The sequence below is a fragment of the Homo sapiens genome, chromosome 6 (genome assembly GCF_000001405.40).
Source record: "Homo sapiens chromosome 6, GRCh38.p14 Primary Assembly".
In the NCBI taxonomy this organism is placed as follows: domain Eukaryota; kingdom Metazoa; phylum Chordata; class Mammalia; order Primates; family Hominidae; genus Homo; species Homo sapiens.
Window position 1 is genome coordinate 141,762,744 of NC_000006.12, and position 19,165 is coordinate 141,781,908.

At 34.1% G+C, this 19,165-nt stretch overlaps 1 long non-coding RNA gene across 1 annotated transcript in view; it reads right to left on the reverse strand.

Moving 5' to 3' along the window:
* Window positions 1-835: 835 nt before the first annotated feature.
* LOC105378030 (uncharacterized) overlaps window positions 836-19,165 on the reverse strand; it is a 38,367-nt gene continuing 20,037 nt past the window's right edge. The window contains exons 2-3 of the long non-coding RNA XR_001744392.2: window positions 10,743-10,844; window positions 836-10,276 (exon numbers count right to left, since the gene is read on the reverse strand). This is a non-coding gene — a long non-coding RNA (uncharacterized LOC105378030). The remainder of the gene's footprint in view (window positions 10,277-10,742; window positions 10,845-19,165) is intronic.

The window sequence follows — 19,165 nt, forward strand, 5'->3', positions numbered from 1 at the left end:
TGGCTTATTGAGATGAAATCTACCTCTGGTGAAGATGTTGTGAATGTTGTTGAAATGACAACAAAAGATGTAGGATATTACGTAAACTAAATTTATAAAGCAGTGGTAGGGTTTCAGAGGATTGACTTCAATTTTGAAAGAAGTTCCACTGTAGGTCAAATGCTATCCAACAGCATCACAGGCTACAGAGAATTTTTTTGTGAAAGGAAGAGTTAATTGATACAGTAGAGTTCATTCTTATCTTATTTTAAGAAATTGCCACTGTTACCCCAACTTTCAGCAACCACCACGCTAATCAATTAGCAACCATCAACATTGAATCAAGACCCTCCACTAGCAAAAAGAAGGTTCAGAAGATTATTAGCATTTTTTAGCAATAAAGTGTGTTTAAATGAAAGTAAGAGCATTGTTTTTCAGACATAATGCTATTGCACACTAAATATAATATCTTGTAAACATAACTTTTTTGTGCACTGGGAAGCGAAAATATTTGTGTGACTCTCTTCATTTTGATATTTGCATTATTGCAGTGATCCGGAGCTGAACCTGCAAATCTCTGAGATATGCCTGTATTAAAAATAAGTAATATAAAAAGTAATGACCTACACTATCACATTAAGAAAGGGTAAAAAAACCATTAAACCCAAATTCAGTAGAGAAAGAAAATATAAAAATGTAACATATAAATAAATGAAGTAGAAAATAGAACTGTATATTTAAAATACACCTCAATGAATTTGATTTAATAATAAAAAGCTGTGAACATGTATATAACTAACTGGAAAATTAGTTTGGTGACTGTAGGTGTGGATTGTTTGACCCCAAGGCAAAAAACTGCATATACAGAAGTGTTTTATTATTTTTCAAAATTATAGTCCTCATTTAACAGAAGAAATAGGAACTAGAATGCCAATAGCAGCTCTCCACACCATTCCCATCTTGTGTGTTTTGCCATCAGTTGATTTTATTTCAGCCCTCTAATTTGACCTTGGCTTTCTTAGCTGAACGTTTAAGAGGGATCCAGAAAAACAGGTGCCACACCAATACATAGATATACATATATTTGTTTAAGATGGCCAAGTAACACATAGACTTCATTAGTTTGTTAACATACCAAACTAAAGCTTTATGTAGAATAGAAAAATACAAATAGAAGGTTTACCTTCCAGTTACCAATTTATATATATTTTTGTTCAACCCTCATAATTCTTTTTACTGTTAAATCTACTTCTTAAAATGAGGATATGAAATATAATCAACCTTAAGCAATTTACCCAAATCATATAGGAGATTCTGATTATCTGTTCCCAAACACCACAATCCACCTGCTATATCACATTTCCTTTTTCTTAACATATTGTATTTGCTCTCTTTTATAAAACAGAGATACATATCATAATTAGACCATAATAACAACCTTATATACACAAGTACAATAGATTTTTTAAAATATCATTATCAAAGGAAAATTCAGGAAAAACTTAAATTATATATTCCATTTTTGCATCCAAAAGTGCTCATAGACCCAGGTTGAGTTTGTTTTTGTTTTGATGTTATTTTTTTCTAAACTTAACTGAAAGAAAATTCCACTTGTTAATTCTGCTGATTTAGAGGCAATAGTTATGTCTTGGACATATAACCTCAAATTAATTGATATAATGTGTGCATTTTTAAAATCCAGCTAATCCTAAAAAAAAGATGAGTGCCAGATGCTAGAATTATTTTACCAATGTGCCAGTTATGGAAAACACACTGAGAATGTTATTTCTTTTTTGACATGATTTGTTCAGGAATTTAAACATTTGACTCTCTAATACATCAGTCTATATTACTAAGGATACAAAGTTAATCAAAACAGGCTGGCAGAGTTAGCTCACAGGCATATGAAGAGAAAAAATAGTAGAAACAAATCATTGAATTAGAATGTGGTATGGATTATACTAAAATATGAACATTACATAATGTTGATGGCAAAGAGGAAGTGATTAATTTTATATTTCAGCCTTAGGGGGAAACAGCCTGAAAAGCTGATTATTAATCTGAGTGAACAGATGAATTTCTTAATCCAAAAAGAAAACTCTAAAACTTCTAAATTCAGAAATTAATATTTTAAAATGTTGATATTAGTATTCAAATATGCTTTTCATTACTAGTAAATCCATCAATGAGATTGATTTTGAAGGTATACTTTCTTCTTTAAATATGTTCGCTTATATTCACTTCCCTGAATCTGACTTTGAACATGGCAAAATTTGTTTGTGGATCTATCTGCATTTGTAAACAATGTTCTATAGCTTGAGATCTTTATTCCACTCACGTTTGCCTTTTTCCGGGTAAGATTTTTCCACTGATTATTTAATAGACTACACACTTGTCTTGAATATTTTATCTGAATTATACTAAGCATTTTTCCATGGACATTGAAAACCCAGCTACAGACATGTATCATTAAATATTGGCTGTTTGGTATCATTATTTCATCCTTTCGGGACTTTAAGAAGGTATAAACATTAACCCAGGAGGGTGCACAATTTTGCAAGGAACATTACATGAACTTCCTCAAAACAAGTTTACAGGATAAATTTTATTATAATTTGATGCATATATTTACATTCAAGAGTTTCATTACTGTCTTTTAGTCTGTATCTCATATTGTAATGCTAGTCACAATCTCTGGGAACAAATGCAGAATATACTTGAAGATATGAATAACGTAGACTTCAAAAATTGTCAGAGCTGATTGTTTTAGGTAACTGGTTCATGTCCTCCAGTTCCTTCGACAGATACATTGATACATTTTTTTAAATTTTTTTATTCTGCTCTTTCTGTCTTTCCATGTTGGCTTACTGTCAAAGCATCTGTCACCCTGACACTGATGTGTTTTTGAGTGATTATAAGCTTATTAAATATATATGTATACATACACAATACACACACATATGTGTGTATATGTGTGTGTGTGTGTGTGTGTGTGTGTGTGTGTATTTGAAAAACGCTTTCAACATCTTGTATTTATAATTTTGGAGAAAAGAGGACTTACCCAGCAGCAAAGTATACATAAAGCCAGCAGCTCTGTTACAAAGATAGAAAATATACCCTGCAATCATTATAACTTCTGATAAATATAATTCTGATTTTTAAAAATGGCTCTAAAGCTAAATGATTATGAAGGTGGCACTTCTGTCAGAATAATTCAGATGGCATAATCAAGGATGAAGAAATTATCATTTCATAGAGAAAAAAAGAGTAATCATACATGTGCAGAATTTTTCTTACAGGAGTGATATTTTGTTATAGTATGAAGACAGAAATATGGGAAAAAGGTACCATTGGTCAGTTTACTATGAAACAATATTAAATGAAAAAATGTACAAAACACTGAAATTCCCATTGTAGCTTTGATTAATTATTTGGTATTCCAATTCAGCAATAGTTGTGGGAGATTATAAACACATATTAGATAGGATTAAAAAGATGATGATTTTAGTTAGAAGACTTTATTCCAGCAGGAATATATTTAAACTATGTTTTATTTATGGGGATTTTTTTATGCCATATTAGCTTGAATGAGCCTTGTTCTATGCAGTTCAGCAAAGAAGAGATTAGAGAATTGGTCTTGTATATTTCATTGACTTTCTAGAAAGTGCATTTCCATCACTGCTAGTGATTTCTCGAGCCTGTAAGATCGTTTCATTAACTTTTTTTTGCCATATCTGGAGCAGAAAGAAGCAGCTGAAGATAATGTTCTAAAGGCAAAATTTTGTTGTCTTTGGAATTCTGTTCTTTGTGATTTTATACCTTAAAAATTCAATTTACTGTAACTTACTTGTAAATTCACTATTGACCTAAAATACATGTTTGTGTTCAGTTCTCTAGCTTAATCCAAATATATGTTAATCTTTGTCAGACTACTCTAAAAACAATGTCATCTGGATGAAATTTATTTTCTTATTGTTGATTTTTTCATTGTCTTAGCTTTAGATATCTTTACGTACCTACTTATGTTTAGGAATTTCATTTGCGGCCTCATTTTTAGAAAGCTTTTTTTTTCATTTTCCTCTTTATTTTCTTCTCATTCTTTTTCTTACTTTCTCTAATTTCTTATGCTATGTTTGATCTCTTTCCTGTGTGTGTGTTTGTCCTTTGTGGTCTAGTTCCTAGCGACAAAGTTGGTTTTTAAAAATTTTGTAGGTACACAGAGGAGTATATGTTGACATATTTTGATATAGTCATATAGTGCATAGTAATACCATCAGGGTAAATGTGATACCTACAGTTTTGGTCTTTTTGCTTAGGATAGCTTTGACTACTCTGGATCTTTCATGGTTCCATATAAATTTTAAAATTGCTTTTTCTAATTCTGTGAAGAATGTCATTGGTATCATAGTCATTTTGATAGGGATTGCATTGAATCTGTACATTACTCTAAATAGTATGGACATTTAAAAAATATTGATTCTTCCAATCCCATGAGCATGGAATATCTTTGCATTTTCTTGTAGCATCTTCACTTTCTTGCAACAATTTTTTATAGCTTTCATTATAGAGATCTTTCACTTCTTTGGTTAATTCCTAGGTATTTTATTTTATTTTATTTTATTTACAGCTATTACAAATGGGATTACTTTCTTGATTTCTTTTTCAGATTGTTCACTGTTAGCATATGGAAGTACTACTGATTTTTGTATGTTGATTTTTTATTCTGCAACTTTACTGAATTAGTTTATCAGTTCTAATAGATTTTGGTGGTGTCTTTAGATTTTCCCAAATATAAGAATATATCATCTGTAAACAAGGAAGGAAAATTTGACTTCTTCCTTTCCAATTTGGATGTCCTTTATTTCTTTCTATTGTCTGAGTGCTCTAGCTAGGACTTCCAGTAACACATTAAATAATAATGTTGAAAGTGGGCATCCCGTTTCAGATCTTAGAGGAAAGGCTTTCAGATACTCCCCATTCAATATGATATTATGACAACTGTGTGTCTGTCAGATATGCTTTCTATTATGTTGAGGTATTTCCTGTTATACCAAGATTTTGGAGTGTTTTCATCATGAAAAAATGTTGAATTTTATCAAATGCCTTTTCAGTGTAAGTTGCAATGATCCTATATTTTTTCCCTTCATTCTTTGACATGATGCATCACACTGAGTGACTTGCATATGTAGAACTATCTTTGCATCTCTGGGATCAATATTACTTGGTCGTGATGAATGATCTTTTTCATGTGTTGTTGAATTTGTCTTAATAATATACTGTTGAGGATTTTTGCATTAATAGTAACCAATAATATTGGCCTGTGGTTTCTTTTTTGATGTCTCTGTCTCAGGTTGGTATCAGAGTAACACTGGCCTCATAGTATGAGAATAGAAGTATTCCCTCCTCCTCTATTTTTCAGAATCCTTTGAATAGGATGGGGTACTAATTCTTCTTTAAATTTTGGTAGAATTCAGTGTAAAACAGTTGGATTCCTGCCTGACTTTTCTTTACTAGAAGACTTATTACGGATTCAATCTTGTTATTATTTGTCTAGTCAGGTTTAGATTTCTTCATGGTCCAATCTTGATAAGTTGTATGTGTCTAGGAATTTATTTCTTCCAGATTTTCCAATTAATTAGCATATAGTTGCTCATAGTAGCTACTAAGGATTCTTTGAATTTCTATTGTATTGGTTGTAATGTCTCCTCTTTCATCTCTGAATATATTTATTTGGATCTTTTTTTTTCTTAGTCTGGCTAAAAGTTTGTCAATTTGTTTATCTTCTCAAAAAGCATCTTTTTGTTTCATTGATATTTGGTATTGTTTTCTTCATTTAAATTTATGTATCTCTATTCTGAATTTTTTTTCTTCTACTAATTTCTGTTTGATTTGTTCTTGATGGTCTAGTATTTTAAGTTGTTATTAAATTTACGTTATTAAATTTTTTATTTAAAATTGTTCTTGTTTTTTGATATAGGCACTCATAGCTATAAACTTCTATCTTAGTACTCCTTTTGCTATATCCCATAGGTCTTGGTATGTTGTGTTTCCATTATCATTTCTTTCAATAAATTTTTCAATTTCTTCCTTAATTTCTTCTTTGACCCACTGGTCATTCAGGAGCATATTGTTTAATTTCCATGTGTTTTTATATTCTCCAAAATTCATTTGTTATTGATTTCTAGTTTTATTCCATCGTGTTCAGAGAAGATACTTGACAGTATTTCAATTTTTTGAATGTTTTAGGACTTGTTTTGTGACATAACATATGGCTTATTATTGAGAATGACTCATGTACTAAGGAAAAGAATGTGTGTTCTGCGGCTCTTGGATGAAATGGTCTTTAAATATCTAACTAGGTTTATTTGATCTATAGTGTAGATAAGTCTGATTTTTTTAAATTTTCTGTCTAAAATCTGTCCAGTGCTGAAAGTGGAGTAATGGAGTCTGCAGCTATTATTGTATTGTGGTCCATCTCTTGCTTTAGCTCTAATAATATTTGCATTAGATGTCTAAGTGCTCCAGTTGTTGGGTGCATATATTTTTATAATGTTTATATCCTCCTGGTGAATTGACCCCTTATTCATACATAGTGACCTACTTTGTCTCTTCTTATAGTTTCGTCTTGAAACCTATTTTGTCTGATGTAACTATACCTACTCCTATTCTTTTTTGATTTTCATTTGCATGAAATATATCTTTCCATCCCTTCATTTTCAGTTTTTGTATGTCTTTATAGGTGCAATGTGTTTCTTCTAGGCAACAGATTATTGGATCTTGGTTTTTTATTCATTCAGTCACTCTATTTTTTAATTTGTAAGTTTAGTCAATTTATAATCAATGTTATTATTGATAAGTAAGGACTTACTCCTACTATCTTGTTATTTATTTTCTGGTGGTTTTGTGGTCTGTTCTTCCTTCTTTTCCTCTTTCCTGTCTTCCTTTTAGTAAAAGTGATTTTCTCAGGTGTGTGATTTAATGTCTGGCTTTTTCTTTTTCATGTGTACATTATATGTTTTTTGATTTCACGTTACCAAGAGGCTTGCAAATAATATAACACATTTTCAGTTGATAACAACTTAACACTGCTTGCATATGTAAACAAACTAATAAGCAAAAAGAAAACTGATAAAAACTCTACACTTAAACTTCCTCTCCCACTTTCTAACTTTTTGTTGTTTCTATTTATATCTTATCGTACAATCTATGTCTTGAAAAGTTGTAGTTATTATTTTTGATTGGTTCCTGTTTTATTCTTTCTACTTAAGGCAAGGATACTTTACACAACACAGCTACAGTGTTTTTATATTCTGTGTTTTTCAGTGTACTTACTATTACCAGTGAGTTTTGTACCTTCAGATGATTTCTTTTTGCTCATTTACATCTATTTTTCTTGTGATTAATATATTCCTTTTAGCATCTCTCGGAGGACAGGCCTGGTGTTGATGAAATCCCTCAGCTTTTGTTTGTCTGAGTCTTTATCTCTCCTTCATGTTTGAAGAATATATACCCTGGATGTACCATTCTGTGGTATAAGCTTTTTTTTTCTTTTAGCACTTTAACTATGTCATGCCACTCTCTCCTGACCTTAAGGTTTCCACAGAAATGTCTGCTGCCAGACATATTGGAGCTCCATTGTATGTTAATTGTTTTTTATCTTGCTACTTTCAGAATCCTTTCTTTGTCCTTGACCTTTGGAAGTTTGATTATTAAATGCTTTGAGGTAGTCTTCTTTTGGTTAAATCACATTAGTATTCTATAACCTTCTTGTCCTTGAATATATATATATATATATAGCTTTCTCTAGGTTTGGGCTTCTCTGTTATTATCCTGTTGAATAAACTTTCTACTCCATCCCTTCCTCTGCCTCCCACTTAAGGCCAATAACTTAGATTTTTCCCTTTTGATGCATTTTCTAGATCCTGAAGGCATGCTTTATTTTTATTCTTTTTTTCTTTTGTCTCCTCTGACTGTGTATTTCAAATAGCCTGTCTTCAAGCTCACTAATACTTTCTCCTGCTTGATTGAGTCTGCTATTAAAAGACTCTGATGCATTCTTCAATATGTCAATTGCATTTTTCAGCTCCAGAATTTCTGCTTGATTCCTTTTAATTACTTTAATGTCTTTGTTAAATTTACCTGATAGGATTCTGAATTCCTTCTCAGTGTTATCTTGAATTTCTTTGAGTTTCTTCAAGACAGCTATTTTCATAATAATACTCTGTCTGAAATGTCACGTGTCTCTGTTTCTCCAGGATTGGTTCCTTGTGCCTTATTTACTCTATTTGGTTAGATCATATTCCCTGAATGTTCTTGATGCTTGCGGAAGTTCTTTGGTGTCTGAGCATTGAAGAGTTAGGTACTTATTATAGTCATCGCCATCTGGGCTTCTTTGTACCCTTTCTCCTTGGGAAGGCTTCTTAAGTATTCAGAAGGACTTGGGTGTTGTGATCTAAACTGTATATGCATTAAGTGGCACCCCAAGCCCAGCAATACTGTGGTCCTTGTAGACTCACAGAAGTACCACTTAAGTGGTCTTGGATAAGATCTGGAAGAATTATCTGGATTACCAGGCAGAGACTCTTGTTCTCTTTCCTTACTTTCTCCAAAACCAATGGAGTTTCTCTTTGTATGCTGAGCTTCCTGGAGCTGGGGATGACATAACACAAGCACCTTTGTAGCCACCTCCCCTGGGACACTGCTGAATCAGAACTGAAGTCAGCACAGCTCTAGGTCTTGCCCAACGCTCAACGTGACCACTACTAGGCTACTACCTATGTTTGTTCAAGGTTCTGGGTCTCTACAATCAGCAGGTAGTAAAGCCAGCCAGTATTGTGTTCTTCCCTTCAGGGTAGCAAGTTCCCCCAGGTCGTGGGTGGGTCTAGAGATGCCATCTAGGAGCCAGGTACTGGAGAAAAAACTTTAAAAATCTACCTTGCATTCTGTTCCCCTGGAGCTGAGCTGGTACTCAAACCACAAAATGGAGTCCTCCCCATTCTTCCCTCCCTTTCTAAAGGCAAAGGAGCCTCACCCCGTAGGCTCCACCATCATAAGCCCATGGGAAGTACTAACAGCCTACTGCCAATGTTCAGTTGAGGCCCAAAGGATCTTTAGTCAGCTTGTGGTGAATGCTGCCAGGCCTGGGACTCATTCTTCATGGTAGTGGTCTCCCCTCGGTCCAGGGTAGGTCCTAAAATGCCGTGAACCAAGGCCTGTAACTGGGGACCTGATGAGCCTGCTTGGTGCTCTACCCTACTGTGGCTGAGCTGGTACCTAAGATGCAACACAAAGTCCCCTTTGCTTTTGCCTTTGCTTTTCTCAAATAGAAGGAGTTTCTCCTCATAGCCTCCACAGCTGGGAATGTGCTGGTTCTTTCCTGAAGCCAGCATGTCTCTGAGTCTCACTCAAGTCTCACAGCTGGGTATTGCTGTGAGATTCTTCAGGTCCCAAGTGCTCTTTAGTCAGGAGGTGATGGATTCTGCTTGTACTGGATCCTTTCTTTCAAGGCAGTATGTTCCCTTCTGGCCCAGGGTGTGTCTAGAAATGTTATCTGGGAGCTAGGGCTTGCAATGGGGCTTATAGGCCTTATGGTGCTCTAATCTACTGTGGCTGAGTTTTTATTCAAGATACAAGAAAAAGTCCAGTTTTCTCTTTCCTCTCCTCTCCTCAAGTAGAAGGAAGGGGTCTCTTTTGCAGCTGTGAACTGTGCTGCCTGGGGTTGGGAAAGGGAAGATGCAAGCATTCCCTTAGCACCCTTGCTGGTATCTCAGTAGGTTGCATATCCCCCAAGTCCACTGGCTCTGAGACCAGCTCAGCACTTAGGAGCTAGGCTTGCTGGAACTCAAACTCTGACCACTGGGATGGACCATTCCCATCTGGCTAGGCTCTGTCCACACATTCCCTCTGTAGGAAAGCGTTAGATAAGTACAGTCTGGTTCTGCTTTCCACTGTGACAGGGAAGCACCAAGTTCAATGCAAAGCATCACAATCACTGCACTTTCCCTCCCAAGTGCACAAATTCTCCATGCCACACAGCTGCTGCTGGGGAATGGGAGAGGGATAATGTTAGCAGTTTAAGACTATTTTGCCTACCCTCTTCAGTGCCTCTTTCAGAAATATTAATTCAAAACCAGGCACTGTCAGTGCTCACCTGATTTTTGCTTCCTTTGAAGGTGCTCCCTTTGTGTGGATATCAAACTTGGTGTTCCCGTGGAAGCGGTGGGAAATGATCAGTAGAAACTTCTATGCAGTCATCTTGCTCCACGTCTCTGCCAAAGTTGATATTTTAATGATGTGCCTAAGATAAGAGTATTTTTCAAAGTTTCTTTAGTTTTCGGCCTGTACTATTGTTATCTTATAAGTTTGTTTATTCAACAAACATTTATTGAAAACATACTGTATTTCAGGAAATGTCCTAGCTTTTGAGGATATATCAATGAAGAAGACAAGTTACAAATCACTTTTTCCTACTTTCACAGAGATTACATTTTAGTAGATCTAACAGTCTAATCTTAAAAATGTAGATCCCTGCACATCACCATGGAGCTACTGAAAGAGATCTATTGGAAACAAGAGATATGCATATTTAATGAGTAACCCATGTAATTCTTGGGCAGACTAAAGTTTCAAATCTAAACTACTTTCCTCTTGCTATTTTCTTTCCCATGCTCTAGAGCTCTCATACTAGCTGTCTTTATTTGCTTTTGCTGCTATCACAAAATACTTGAGACTAGATAATTTAAAAAGAAAAATTTATTTCTCACAGTTCTGGAGAGTAGGAAGTCCAAGATCAAGGCACCAGCAGGACCAGAGTCTGATGAAGGCCCTTTCCTCATAAATGACATCATCTAGGTGTCCTCACATGGCTGAAGAGCGAAAAAGGGATGAACACCGTGTCCAGATCTCTCATGGTCTAATCACCTCCTAAAGGCCCCACCTCTTAAAAACTGTTCCATTGGAGATTAGCTTTCAACATGAATTTTGGAGGTACACAGATATTCAAACCATAGTACTTGCTGAGATTTTCCTAAAATCTGCTAAAATATCATTTAAATTTGGACTATGTATTGTGTTTATTGTGTTGGTCAGTGCATTTTTTGGGATCTCCTTACTACTCTATGCATTACGGTTTTTATTTTACTTATGTAACATTAAAACATGCCCTTCAAAATACTCTGTAGTTACATTTTATCTTTCTTCACCTTCTAACACAAGAACATGGATCTTCAAAATCTCCACTTACAAGTTTAAACATGTAAAACACATTAAAATGGTTACTATTATCAATTTTATGTATTATACAGAGGGAATTAATTATATGTAATTAATTAAATAATATTAAAACAAACCTAAAAGTATGTAATACTTCTATGCTTTCTTCAGCTAAGCTTAGAGGTAGCAAATCAGGACATTAAAATGGTCTGTATCTTGCACTTTTCTTACGGTGAGAGGATAAGGCATTATAGAGAGTACTATACCATACTATTTATATAAAACAAATGAAAAATGTATTTTTTGCATATTAGATAAGCAGATCTTTGGACATATTCCATCAGACATGATTACAGGAAAAGAAATGGGAGCAAGAGTAAACACCAATGAACCTGTAAAAGTGAAGCATTCTAGCAAATTTAAAGTGACCAGCCATGTTTATTTGCTCCTTCTTCTATCTTCTCTTCTCTTTTAAACACTATTTGAACATCTTCCCTGTGAAGTTCCCAGACAGTTTATATCTAAATAAGTAGATTTTATTCAGGATAATAGCCAACCCCACTTTAGAACTTCCTCAAATTATTGGTTAAGAATCACATCTGAGATTTCATATCTAATCAGGTATTAGAATGAATGAATATAGTTGATTTTATTTTCATTTTATACAGTAGATCCTCTCTTAAGTAACATTCACTTAATCATTTAACAAAGAAGTTCATCCTATCTGTTCCTCACTGAACACCAGCTAAGAAACCACGAGACATTAAACCATGATGCCTTACTTTCCCATAAACCTATGTTCTTCTGTTTCCACTAACTCTACACCTTTATGTCAAGTTGCTGTGACTACATAGCTTTGTTAAAAATGTATAAAATAAGTAAATATGAATAGAAAAGGATAGTTGTTTGAAGGAAACTAAGTTGAGTATTTGAGACAATATTGTCCTTACCTGTTAGCACCAGAAAACAGTAATTCAAAATGCACTACTTAAATCCCATTCACAATTGCCACACATAGAAAAAAAATACTTAGGAATACAGCTAACCAGGGAGGTGAAAAATCTCTACAATGAGAATTAGAAAACACTGCTTGAAGGAATCAGAGAAAACACAAACAAATGGAAAAACATTTTATGCTTATGGATAAAAAGAATCAATATCATTAAAATGGCTATACTGCCCAAAGCAATTTACAGATTCAATGCTATTCCCATCAAACTACCAATGACATTCTTCACAGAACTAGAAAAAAATATTTTAAAATGTATATGGAACGAAAAAAGAGCCCAAATAGCCAAGGCAATCCTAAGCAAAACAAAAACAAAAACAAAACAAAACAAACAGCAACAACAACAAAAAGCTGGAGGAATCACATTATCTGACTTCAAGCTATACAAGGCTACAGTGACCAAAACAGCATGGTATTGGTACAAAAACCGACACACAGACCAAAGGAACAGAATAGAGAGCCCAGAAATAAGGCTACACATCTACTACCATCTGATCTTTGACAAAGCTGACAGACACAAGTAATGGGAAAAAGACTCTCTGTTCAATTAATGTTGCTGGAATAACTGGCTAGCCATATGTAGAAGATTGAAGCTGAACCCCTTCCTCACACAATATATAAAAATCAACTCAATATGGATTAAAGACTTAAATGTAAAACTCAAAACTATATAAACCCTGGAAGACAACCTAGGCAATACCATCCTGGACATAGGAATGGGCAAAGATTTCATGACAAAGACACCAAAAGCAATTGCAACAAAAGCAAAAATGGACAAATGGGATCTAATTAAACTAAAGAGCTTCTGCACAGCAGAGGAAACTATCAACAAAGTGAACAGACAACCTACATAATGGGAGAAAATTTTTGTAAACTATGCATCGGACAAAGGTCTAATATCCAGCATCTATAAAAAACTTAAACAAATTTACAAGAGAAAATCAAACAACCCCATTAAAAAGTAGGCAAAGGACATGAACAGACACTTCTCAAAAGAATACATACGTGCAGCCAACAAGCATATGAAAAATAAGCTCAATATCATTGATTGCTAGAGAAAGGCAAATGAAAAACCCAGTGAGATAACATCTCACACCAGTCAGAATGACCATTAGTAAAAAGTCAAAAAATAACAGATGCTATTAAGGTTATGGAAAAAGGGAACCCTCATACACTGTTGGTGGGAGTGTTCATCCATTGCGGAACGCAGTATGGCAATTCCTCAAACAGGTAAAAGCAGAACTACCATTCGACCCAGCAATCCCATTACTGGGCATATGCCCAGAGGAATATAAATCATTCTACTATAAAGACACATGCATGCCAATGTTCATTGCAGCACTATTCCCAATAGCAAAGACATGGAATCGACCTGAATGCCCATCAATGACAGACTTCATAAAATGTGGTACATATACACCATGCAATATTATGCAGCCATAAAAAAAGAGAACACGATCATGTATTTTTCAGGAACATGCAGTAGGAGGTTATCATCTTTATCAAACTAATGCAGGAACAAGCAACCAACTACCGAATGTTCTCACTTATAAGTGGGAGCTAAAGGATAAGAACTTATGAACACAAAGAAGGAAACAGCAGACCCTGGGGTCTACTTGACAGGGGAGGGTAGGAGGAGAGAGAGGAGAAGAAAACATAACTATTGGGTACTGAGCTTAATACCTGTGTGATGTAATAATATGTGCAACAAAGCCCCATGACACAATTTGATGATTTAACAAATTGTGTTAACCTATTTAACAAATCTTCACGTGTATCCTCAAACCTAAAATAAATTTTTAAAAATGCACTACTTAGGAACAAATGTATAAAACTGGAAATGATTTATAAAATTAATGAATGATAATGCCAAGAATTACTTTGCAACTCCTTTTAATTTCTCACTCCCCTCTAAATAAAAATAACACTGGAAATGGCATATATTATGGATAAGCACACACAAGAAATATCAAGGGGAAGTATCAATGGACTCATGTTAAAAATTGGTAAGAGTGTGCACGTGTATACTTTAAGTTAACATCTAGGTCTGAATCAAAAGTCCAGTCACTGTGGGTTCACAAGGTAGGATCCAATGACAGGTGTCCTGTGTGTCCCCATTCTCTCAAGATATGTTTCCTGTCTGAGTTTTTATTTTCTACAAAATTAGTTTCTAAGAACAAGTGAATAAAAAGGAAAGGATATCACAGGTAGTAGTGATTAACTTGGTAAAAGCCATAATCCTGCTTTGAATTACTTAATACAAATCTCTTGATAATAACAGTTCACTCATTAATCAAAGTAATTATTCTAGTATCTCATGGATAAACTAAGAACTTTAAAGATACTATTTGTTAGGTGGTGACATGGAAAGCCTTTTATTCTTGGTAGCTTGACTTTAATATCAAGCCACATTTGGTCTCCCTTAGTCACTGAATTGGACTGCATCTATTACTCATGGGTCAACATGAAAAGTAATGACTTAAAAAATTGTGATTTTTGTCAGGAACAGTAAACACATTGTTTTGAAAGGGCTTAAATTCAAGATAAAATAAAAAGATTCATCTGGGTCTTTCTCACCAGATTTTTTCATCTTCCCCCACCCTTTTCTTCAGTGTTGAAGAAAATTGAAGTATTGAACATTTCAAAAGGTTTTATTTGTAAATGCTTTTTATTTTTATTTCGAAGATGAACAGTGCCTAATATCATCACACCAGCTTCACAATTTTGCTTGCTGGAGGTGGATATAAATGACAACTCTTCTGGAAGCAAGGCGGTGTGGGCCTGTCTCCTGAACTGCTCAGTAGGAAGCTGACATTTCATCACTAAAGTTCAGTGCATTGGAACATTGTTCTAGTCATAACAAACTGTATAAATTACAAAATCCTGGCAACACATTCTAGCCATTAAGCTGCATATCGCATATCCTTTTATTTTCATTCTGGAAAGCTTTTATTAATTCATAAAATGATTTTTCTTGATAGACAGAAATTGGAAGCTGGGAGAACAAACAACAAAAACAGGCCCACTTGTTTCCCAGCTGAACGATTTGACCAGATACATTAGCATTTAAATTTTTTCTGAAAAATTCCACCCATCACCAATTAGTATATATATATATATTTTTTAACATACCACTGCAAATTCATATCTCCCTGCCTTTTCATCCAATGGTATTTTGCAAAATATTTTTCATTTTAATATTCTAAGCATAGTTTATTACACATCATTTCAACATTATATTTTTTCTCTTTTGGAATTACAAATGGGGTCACCATAAGAGTATTAGAGCAACAAATTATATCCTTAAAACCTGAAGCTGTTCAATATTTGCCCAATAAGCTTTTTCTTACCCATAATCCCATCAAGGTTGAGACAACAAAAGAGTGAGACATTGTATTATTTGCAGTTAAATCATTATTGATAAGTACAGAAAGAATAATAAAGAGTAATTTTTATATAACCATTTTAGTTATAAAAAAATGGACTACTTTATACAGTTTGTGATAAAATTTCACAATATAACAACAAATTGGGCTCTTTTTACAAGACATTATATATACAATAAGTTGCATAAAGTGTACCAATCCTTTGTGTGTGTCTCAGAGATGCTAACATATAAATATATACATTTATATAATCACCAAACCGATGAAGACATAAAACATTTCCTTAAGATGATGCTTTTCCATGCATGCACTAAGATGACGCTTTTCCATGTATGCCATCTTCCAGAATACCTCCAGTTATTCTTACTGTAGACTAACCTGTCTGTTGTGACCTGTGATCATCCCTATATGTTACATCTTCTTAAAAATATGTAAATGGACCAGGCACGGTGGCTCACGCCTGTAATCCCAGCACTTTGGGAGGCCAAGGTGGGCGGATCAGGAGATAGAGACCATCCTGGCTAACACAGTTAAACCTCGTCTCTATTAAAAAAAAATACAAAAAAATTAGCCCGGCATGGTGGCAGGAGCCTGTAGTCCCAGTTACTCGGGAGGCTGAGGCAGGAGAAAGGCGTGAACTCGGGTGGCGGAGCTTGCAGTGAGCTGAGATCGCGCCACTGCACTCCAGCCTGGGCGACAGAGCAAGACTCTGTCTCAAAAAAAAAAAAAAAAAAAAAAAAAAGCGGAAGAAGAAAAATATGTAAATGAAGTAAAACAGGATGCGCTCTTTTTTTTCTGTTTCTCTATGTCAGTATATTTTTGAGATTGATCCATTTTGTGATGAGTCATGGTAGCAATTCATTCTCTTTAATTGCTGTGTAGTAGTCCATTTTATTATTATGTTTGTTCTTTTAACAGCTTTATTGAGCTAAAGTTTACATACCTTTAAATTCACCCTTTTAAATCACTAACTTAAAAGGTTTTGAGTATATTCTCAGAGTTGTACAACTATCATCATTATTTAATTTTAAAACTTTTTCATTGCTCTAAGAAGAAGTTCCAAACCCTTTAGCAGTCAGTCCCCATAACTTTGCTCCTCAGCCCCTGGAAACCACTCACCTATTTTCTGTCTCTATGAATTTGTCTATTCCGGACATTTCAAATAAATGAAGTAAAACAAGTTGTACCACAGTTTACCTATTAATTCACCCATTGATGGCATTCATTTGCTTCCAGTTTGGGGCCATTATGAAAAATGCTATGAAAATTCTTGTCTCTTTGACATAATTTACATTAATTTCTGGGTTACATGAATTGTAAACTTGTACAACTAAAAGCTGCTAAACATTTTTCCAAATTGGTTGTACAATTCTTCAATATCTCTAGTAATATATGAGAGCCATGTATAATTGGTGTATATTAAAATTGTACCATAATCTCTAAAATACTTGGTATTGTCAGTACTATTAATATTAACCATTATAGAAGTTGTATAGTAGAATTACATCATAGATTTAATTTACATGTCCTTGATAATTACTGATATTAAACATCAGTAATTTAAATACTGGCTAATTGTTACTCTTCCTTTGTGAAACATGTACTCAAATACTCGATTATTTTCATTGGATTGTTTTTCTTCTCCATATTGAGTTGTAAGAGTTTTTTATATATTCATGACATAAGACTTTAGAACATATATGCATAATCTGTTTTATTTCAATACATGTAACTTGCCTTTAAATTTTCTTAATGATAACTTTTGAAGAGTAGAAAATTTTTATTTGGATCAAGTTAACTTTATGTTTTCTTCTATATATAGTACTTTTTTCTGCGTCCTGTCTAACAAATCTTCGTCTATACCATTCTAATTTTTTTCTTCTACATTTTTATGTTTTACCTCCACATTTCAGTGTATAATTATTTTTATTATACTATCTCAGAATAATAAAAATGAAGTGAAAAAGCAATGAAAACGTTTTAAAATTAAATAATGATGATAGTCACACAACTCTTGAGAATATACTAAAAACCTTTTAACTTAGCGATGTAAAAGAGTGAATTTAATGATAGGTGAACTTTATCTCAGTAAAGCTGTTAAAAAGAACAGGCTGTTACAATAATAAAACGGACTACTACACAACAATTAAAGAGAATGAACTGCTGCAATGACTCATCACAAAATGGATCAATCTCAAAGATATACTGACATAAAGAAATAGAAACAAAAGCCTCTTTTTGTATTTTGTGTGAAGAAGACGGTGTGGTTTATTTTTTAATTAATATTTAATTGTTTCAGCACCACTTGATCAAAAGACTATCCTTTCCACATTGAATTACTTTGATACCATTGTTGAAAATCAATTTGCCAGATAGATAGATAATAAGTAGACAGATAGATAGATGATAGACAGATAGATAATAGACGGATGGATAGATAGATAGATAGATAGATAGATAGATAGATAGATAGATAGATAATGAGTGTACTTGTAGATCCCCTATTTTGGAGAAATTCATTGAGCTATATGTGTTTATTTATGCCAACACCCTACTGTCTTGAATGCAACAGCTTTTTACTAAGACTTTTTTCAGACAGTGAAATCCTCCAACTTTGTTCTTTTTCAAAATTTCTTTTGGTTACTTATTTTCCTTTGCATTTTCAAATGTAAATAATTTAGTCAGCATGTCAATTTTTAAGAAAAAAGATGCCAGAAATTTGGAATTATTTTAAATCTGTGAATCAGTTTTGGGAATGATTGATAGCTTAGCAATATTGAGTCATCTAATCCATGATCATAATAAATCTTTCCATTTAGGTCTCTTTAATTCTATAAACATGGTGCATTAGTCAGTGTTCTCCAAAGAAACAGGACCAGTAGGATATGGACATATATATGTGTGCACATGTCTGTGTGTGTGTGTGTGTGTGTGTGTGTGTGTGTGTGTGTGTGTGTGTGTGTAGTTATAAGGAAATGGCTCCTGTGATTATGGAAGGGCTAGGAAGTGCTATGATCTGCCTTCTGCAATCTGGATCCCAAGAAAACCTGAAAGTGTAGCCCTGGCCCAAGGCCAAAGGCCTGAGACACCAATAATATAAACTCCAGTTTGAGGTCAGGAAACAAAAGTTCCAGCTCAAGTAGCCGAGTAGAAAGAGTGAGTTCTCTTTTCCTCTGGCTTTTTGTTGGGCTCAGACCCTCAGTGAGTTGGATTATGCCCACCCATATTTGGGAGGGCAATCTGCTTTACTCCATCTACTGATTCAAATACTGATATCATCCAGAAACACCTGTGCAGATAGACTCAGAAATCATTTTTAACTGAGTCTGTGGGCACCCCATCATCCAGTCAAGTTGACACATGAAACTAACCATCATGCATGGTTTATGCTTTACAGCACACAGGTCTTGTACATAATTTGTCAAGTATCTTCCACCTGTTTGATGAGAAGCAACTGACTGGGAGAAAATATTTTGAAACCACATATTCAAAATAGGATTCAATCCTGAATATGTAAAGAACTGTAAAATATATAAGGACGCTTGGGGAGAAATTGCTCTGTAACCTATTTGTGGTCATG